This window comes from Homo sapiens, chromosome 7 (genome assembly GCF_000001405.40).
Source record: "Homo sapiens chromosome 7, GRCh38.p14 Primary Assembly".
NCBI classification, from domain to species: domain Eukaryota; kingdom Metazoa; phylum Chordata; class Mammalia; order Primates; family Hominidae; genus Homo; species Homo sapiens.
This window is the reverse complement of record NC_000007.14, coordinates 5,243,881-5,251,183: the sequence shown is the minus strand read 5'-3', so window position 1 is coordinate 5,251,183 and position 7,303 is coordinate 5,243,881.

The window sequence follows — 7,303 nt, the reverse complement described above, 5'->3', positions numbered from 1 at the left end:
GAAGCTGGAAGGGGCAGGAAGGATCCCCACAGAGTCCTTGGAGGGAGCATGGGTGGCCCTGGCAGGCACCTCAGTCTCAGACTTGTGACCTCCGGAACAGTGAGAGAATCAAGTTCTGTGGTTGAAGCCACCCAGTCTGCGATACTTTGCCATGGCAGTCGCAGGACATTAACCCAGCTGGCACGTGGTGGCATTGGGATTTGAACTGTGAAGGTTGATCATCTGAACTGGGTCATTCTTGTCATACTCAACTAAAACAGCGTCAAGAGGCCGGGGGGAAAAACTGACACAGAACCCTGCTCCAAAAATGTCATTCTCCGCAAGCCCCAAGGCTGGCACTGCTGCTGTAATTTGAGGCCAGTTTTCTGTACAGCTGCTGAGATAGCTCACTGCAACCCTAGGACTAATTTTGCCCACCTCCATCACCTGTCAATCAGAGCTTCCCAGGTTCCCTTCCTGGGAACCTCACTAGCACCAAGGATCTTTCTCAAAGAGCAGTATGTGCTGGATGTAGTGGCTCACACCTGGTGGCTCCCAGCACTTTGGGAGCCTTGAAGCAGGAGGATTGCTTGAGGCCAGGAGTTCAAGACCAGTCTGGGCAACATAGCGAGACCTCATCTCTACAAAAACAAATAAAATTGGGCCGGGCGCAGTGGCTCACGCCTGTAATCCCAGCACTTTGGGAGGCCGAGGTGGGCGGATCACCTGAGGTCAGGAGTTCGAGACCAGCCTGGCTAACATGGTGAAACCCCGTTTCTACTAAAAATACAAAAAATTAGCCGGGCGTGGTGGTAGGCGCCTGTAATCCCAGCTACTCGGGAGGCTGAGGCAGGAGAATCGCTTGAACCCGGGAGGCAGAGGATGCAGTGAACTGAGATCACGCCATTGCACTCCAGCTTGGGCAACAAGATCAAAACTCCATCACAAAAAAAACAGAAACAAAACACACCCACACACACATGCACACACACACAAAACAAAGAAAATTAGCTAGCGTGGGCCGGGCATGGTGGTTCACGCCTGTAATGCCAGCACTTTGGGAGGCCGAGACGGGTGGATCACCTGAGGTCAGGAGTTTGAGACCAGCCTGACCAACATGGAGAAACCCCCATCTCTACTAAAAATACAAAAATTAGCTGGGCATGGTAGCACATGCCTGTAATTCCAGCTACTTCGGAGGCTGAGACAGGAGAATCACTTGAACCCGGGAGGCGGAGGTTGTGGTGAGCCAAGATTGGGACATTGCACTCCAGCCTCGGCAACAAGAGTGAAACTCCATCTCAAAAGAAAGAAAGAAAGAAAGAAAATTAGCCAGCATGGTGGTGCGTGCCTGTAGTCCCAGCTACTTGGGACGCTGAGGCGGTAGGAGTACTTGAGCCTGGGAAATCCAGACTGCAGTGAGCTATGATTGAGCCACTGCACTCCAGCCTGGGCAACAGAGTGAGACCCTGTCTCAAAAAAAAAAAAAAATTAATTCAAAGAGCAATACGTAACATTTCCCTTGTCTGTCTGTCTGTCTGTCTGTCTCTCTCTCTTTCTAAAACCTCCGACCTCCCTTTTGTTCTTGGACATACCTAGTCAGTGTGGATGCCCTGAATTACAGTTCTGTCTTCCCAAATAAAACATTGTGTTTTCTTTATTTTTTTTTTGAGATGGGGTCTCGCTTTGTAACCCAGGCTGGAGTGCAGTGGTGCAATCTCGGCTCACTGCAACCTCCGTCTCCCGGGTTCAAGCGATTCTCCTGCCTCAGCCTCCTGAGTAGCTGGGATTAAAGGTGTGCACCACCACACCTGGCTAATTTTTGTATTTTTGGTAGAGACGGGGTTTCACCATGTTGACCAGGCTGGTGTCGAACTCCCGACCTCAAGTGATCTGCCCGCCTCGGCCTCCCAAAGTGCTGGGATTATAGGCGTGAGCCACCACACCCCGCCCAAATAAAACATTTTAATTTCAGAGATTCGTCTCTGCATTTTTCTTTCTTTCTTTTTTTTTGAAATGCAGTCTTCCTCTGTCGCCCAGGCTGGAATGCAGTGGCGCGATCTTGGCTCACTGCAACTTCCGCCTCCTGGGTTCAAGCAATTCTCCTTTCTCAGCCTCCTGAGTAGCTAGGGCTACAAGCATGCTCAAGTGATCCACCTGCCTTGGCCTCCCAAAGTGCCTGGCTCTGCATTTTTATCGTGACTTCAAAGAACCCTGATTTACCAAATCAGAGTGGACACAGGTCTTGAGCTCCTCAATACTGGAAAGAAGCCCTAAGAATCGAGCCTCTTACCTCTGCGATGCTGCATGGGAAATTCTCCCTGCTGTTCAAATAGCCCAGGCCCCTCACTGTGTCCCTGGGCCTGCCCTCGGCCTGCAGGCTAAGGCCCTAAGCCTGTGGCCTGGAAGGGGCTGCTCTGGGCAGGAGATGAGGAAGGAAAGCCCTGGCCGCTCCTTCTGGGCACACTTCCTCGACGGTGACAAGGGAGCCGCGTGGCCAGAGGGGCAGGGGCTTAGGCTGAGTGTGTTTTCTCCTTGCGGTTCAGGGCGAGGTCTGGATTTGCCACGGCTGTGACCTGCAGGGCTTGTGGCCAGCGGGCTCCCAGGAGGCCCTGCTGGGTGGTACTTAAGGGAGCGATAAATGAGATGGACTGTCTGCATCGATCCGGCCTGGGCCCCACAGAACGGGAACTGTCGGATAGATACTGTGGCTGTCCGGGAGACGGGGCCTCCTGGGAGCAGCTGTTATCATGGCTGCAGCTGACTCGGCCCCCACCACTCAGGCGGGCCTTGGCCACGGTCATGGCGGGGAAGCACCCAGGCCCTGTAGCTCAAGGGCTCCAGGCCGCCCACCCGGATCTGCGTGATCAGTTTCGCAGCGGCCCCCGGCTCCTCCTCCCGGGGAAAGGCTGGAACGCAGCAGCATCTGCTGACTTAATGGATTTGGCGGGGGGCCCTGCTCCACCGGGTCTAGGATAATCCTCTCCAAGCAGGACCAAGGCCAGGAAGTGTGTTCGTTTACTTCTCACTCTCTCTTTTCAAAATGGCTTTATTTAGGCCTGGCGCGGTGGCTCACACCTATGATCCCAGCACTTTGGGAAGCCGAGGCTGGTGGATCACGCGAACTCAGGAATTCGAGACCAGCCTGGCCAACATGGCGAAACCCCTCCTCTCCTAAAAATACAAAAATTAGCCGGGTATGGTGGCGCACGCCTGTAGTCCCAGCTACTTGGGAGGCTGAGGCATGAGAATCGCTTAGACCCAGGAGGTGGAGGTTGCAGTGAGCTAGGATCGAGCCATTGTACTCCAGCCTGGGTGACAGAGTGAGAACCTGTCTCAAAAAAAAAAAAAAAAAAGGCTTTATTGGTCAAGCACAGTAGCTCACACCTGTTATCCCAGCACTTTGGGAGGCTGAGGTGGGTGAATTCCTTGAGGTCAGGGGTTCGAGACCAACCTGGCCAACATGGTGAAACTCTGTCTCTACTAAAATTGCAAAAATACAAAAAAATTAGCCGGGCGTGGTGGTACATACCTATAGTCCCAGGTACTCGGAAAAATGAGGCAGGAGAATCACTTGAACCCAGGAGGCAGAGGTTGCAGTGAGCTGAGATCATGTCACTGTATCCCAGCATAGGCGACAGACCCAAACTCTTAGCTCCAAAAAAAAAAGACAGAGTCTCATTATGTCACCCAGGCTGCAGTGCTGTGGTGCAATCACAGCTCACTCCAGCCTCGAAATCTTTGGCTGAAGCAATCCTCCCACCTCTGCCTCCTGAGTAGCTGAGACTACAGGTGTGCACCACCATGCCCGGCTAATTTTTGTATTTTTTGTAGAGATGAGGTATCGCTATGTTGCCCAGGCTGGTCTCAAACTTCTAGCCTCAAGTGATCCTCCCGCCTCAGCCACCAAAGTGCTGAAATTACAGGTGTGAGCCGTCATACCTGGTCTGCACTTGAAGCTTTTGAACTGTTTACTGCTTGATATCCAGAAATGGCCAGATTCTTAGTATTGGTGCTTTTGCTCTTGTCACTTTGCCACCTCCTCTTCCTCTTGGTCGTCTTGGGGACTTGAACACAGGACAGAGGAGCCACGGCTGTCTTCCTGGTTCACACACTTTCCTTGTCAGGGGGCAGTAGGCTGTGTATTTGAGTTGCTAACCGCTAAGAAGGAATACAGCAATGACGGGAGGGGGTCCCTGAAGACTTAGCTAACACAGTGAAGCTGGCCGGGCACTGTGGTTCATGCCTATAATCCCAGCACTTTGGGAGGCCGAGGTGAGCGGATCACTTGAGGTCAGGAATTCGAGACCAGGCTGGCCAATATAGTAAAACCCTGTCTCTAGTAAAAATATGAAAATCAGCTGGGGATGGTGGTGTGCACCTGTAATCCCAGCTACTCGGGAGGCTAAGGCCGAAGAATCACTTGAACCTGGGAGCCGGAGGTTGTGGTGAGCCGAGGTCATGCCACTGCACTCCAGCCTGGGCAACAGAGTGAGAGACTCCATCTCAAAAAAATAAATAAATAAAAAATAAACACAGTGTAGCTGCGGAGCACGGCGGGGAACTCACAGGGAAGCAAGAGCCCCCAAGGCCTATTTCTGCAGTAAGGAAGGTGTTGGCCTAAATGGAAGAGACAGAAAATCGCCAGGTTCCCTGGGAAATGACTGTGTTCAAAATCAAACAAGCAATCTTGGTCAAAAAGACAGGGGAGCGCCTGATAGGGTCAGGCTTTGGGAGGCTGTGAGAATAGTGAGTTCAGAGTTTGCATGAGCAAAATGGTTTTACACAGTTCTGCATGGCAGATGATGGGAATTTTCTGAACAACCCAGGAGAAAATTATATTTAGATGTCATATTCTAAATACATCCTCTGGGATCCTGTGACTGTGTCTGCAAAAATGAACGAAAAATCTTTTATTTCCTTCCATTCACGGGTCCTGTCAAATATCTGTGGATCGTAAAGTGTCCCACGCTCAAGAAAACTGTGGAGTGGACCTTGAAGGGCTTCCCCACCTGTGCAGGAGGGAAGATTCGGGACAAACCGCAGGGTGGCCAGAGAGAGGAAGCACCCCACCAGGCAGGAATAGGGTGTGAAGGAACAATACAGTATGCCCTTTAAAACATACATTGGCAGGGCTTGGTGCAGTGGCTCAAGCCTGTTAATCCCAGCACTTTGGGAGGCCAAGGTAGGAGGATTGCTGGAGGCCAGGAGTGCAAGACCAACCTCAGCAACATAGGGAGATGCCCTGTCTCTAAAAAATTTTTAAAAATTAGCCGGGGGTGGTGGTGCACACCTGTAGTCCCAGCTACTCAGGAGGCAGAGGTGGAGGATTGCTGGCCCAGGAGGTTGAGGCTGCAGTGAACTATGATCATGCCACTGCATTCCAGCCTGGGTGACAACCTGGGAAGTGGAGGTTGCAGTGAGCTGAGATCGCACCATTGCTCTCCGGCCTGGGGGACAAGAGCAAAACTCCATCTCAAAAATAAATAAATAAATAAATAAATAATAATAAACAAATAAAAAATCCAATGTCTCCAATGATCAGGACCTATGATGACTCCACGGACATTAGCTCAATGGCCACATTAATGCAGGATATAGCCTGCTTGGCTTCTGCATCCATCCATCCGCAGCCACACGGCCACTTAGAGCCCAGGCTGGAATCCTGGTCTGGGACAAAGGCCAGTGATCTTTCCAACACTGCGTGCCCAGGAATCACACACGTCTACACACATGTGCACACATGCATGCAAGTGAACATGCCACCCTGGCTCCACGCCGTCCTCCATGCTTGCCAGCAGGGTGGGCATGGTCTTGCATTCAGACACCCTGCTCTGTGGTCTCCAGACTTTATTTTTATTTTTATTTATTTATTTATTTTTGAGATAGTCTTGCTCTGTTGCCAGGCTGGAGTGCAGTGGCGTGATCTTGGCTCACTGCAACCTCTGCCTCCCGGGCTCAGGCGATTCTTCTGCCTCAGCCTCCTGAGTAGCTGGGACTAATGGCACCTGCCACCACACCTAATTTTTTTTTTTTTTTTTTTTTTTTGAGACAGAGTCTTGCTCTGTCGCCCAGGTAGAGTGCAGTGGCGCAATCTCGGCTCACTGTAAGCTCCGCCTCCCAGGTTCATGCCATTCTCCTGTCTCAGCCTCCTGAGTAGCTGGGACTACAGGCGCCTGCCACCACGCCCGGCTGATTTTTTTGTATTTTTTAGTAAAGACGGGGTTTCACCGTGTTAGCCAGGATGGTCTCAATCTCCTGACCTCGTGATCTGCCCGCCTCGGCCTCCCAAAGTGCTGGGATTACAGGTGTGAGCCACTGCGCCCGGCCTGTTTCAAGCCTCTCAAGTACCTCCTGCATTCCTATCACTCAGCATGCACCCTTTCCAGGCAGCCTCTTTTGTCCAACACACAAATGTGTTGTCAGACAATGGATTCCAATTTTGGGATTGGAAAAAAAAGATTCCCATTAGTAACGCAGGGAGAACACACAATCATTGTGGGGCTACATACTAATGTGAATAAATCAGCTCCTAACAGGCTCTCTCTGTTAGAAAAGTCACCAGAAGGAAACACACAGCAGTGTTAACCCCAGGTTAGCTCTGGCACTGGCAGTTACAGGTGATCTTTCTTTTCTTTTCTTTTCTTTTCTTTTTTTTTTTTTTTTTTTTTGAGATAAAGGCTCACTCTGTCGCCCAGGCTGGAGTGCAGTGGCATGATCTCAGCTCATCACAACCTCCGCCTCCCAGGTTCAAGCGATTCTCCTGCCTCAGCCTCCCGAGTAGCTGGGATACAGGTGCCTGCCACCATGCCCGGCTAATTTTTCTATTTTTAGTAGAGATGGGATTTTGCCATCTTGTCCAGGCTGGTCTTGAACTCCTGACCTCAGATGATCCACCCACCTTGGCCTCCCAAAGTGCTGGGATTACACAGGTGTAAGCCCCTGTGCCTGGCTAGAGACTGGTTTTTGTTGTTTTGTTGTTGTTGTTGTTTTTGAGACAGGGTCTCACTCTATCCCCCAGGTTGGAATGTGGTGGTGCGATCATAGCTCACTGCAGCCTTGATCGAGACCCTGGGCTCAAGTGATCCTCCCATCTCAGCCTCCCCAGTAGCTGGGACTACAGGTGCGTGCCACTATGCCCAGCTAGGGGCAGGGACAGTTTGTGAAAAGAGCCACTTGCTGCCATGTAGGACGAGCTCTCTCTCTCCGATGACCCCATCCAAATCCTTCTGGAGGACAGGGCCTGGGGAGGGACCCGTGCTCCGAAGCCCCAAAGCCCTCTCTGATGGAAACTGCCCAGTGATGGGCACAGCTCTACGTGTCT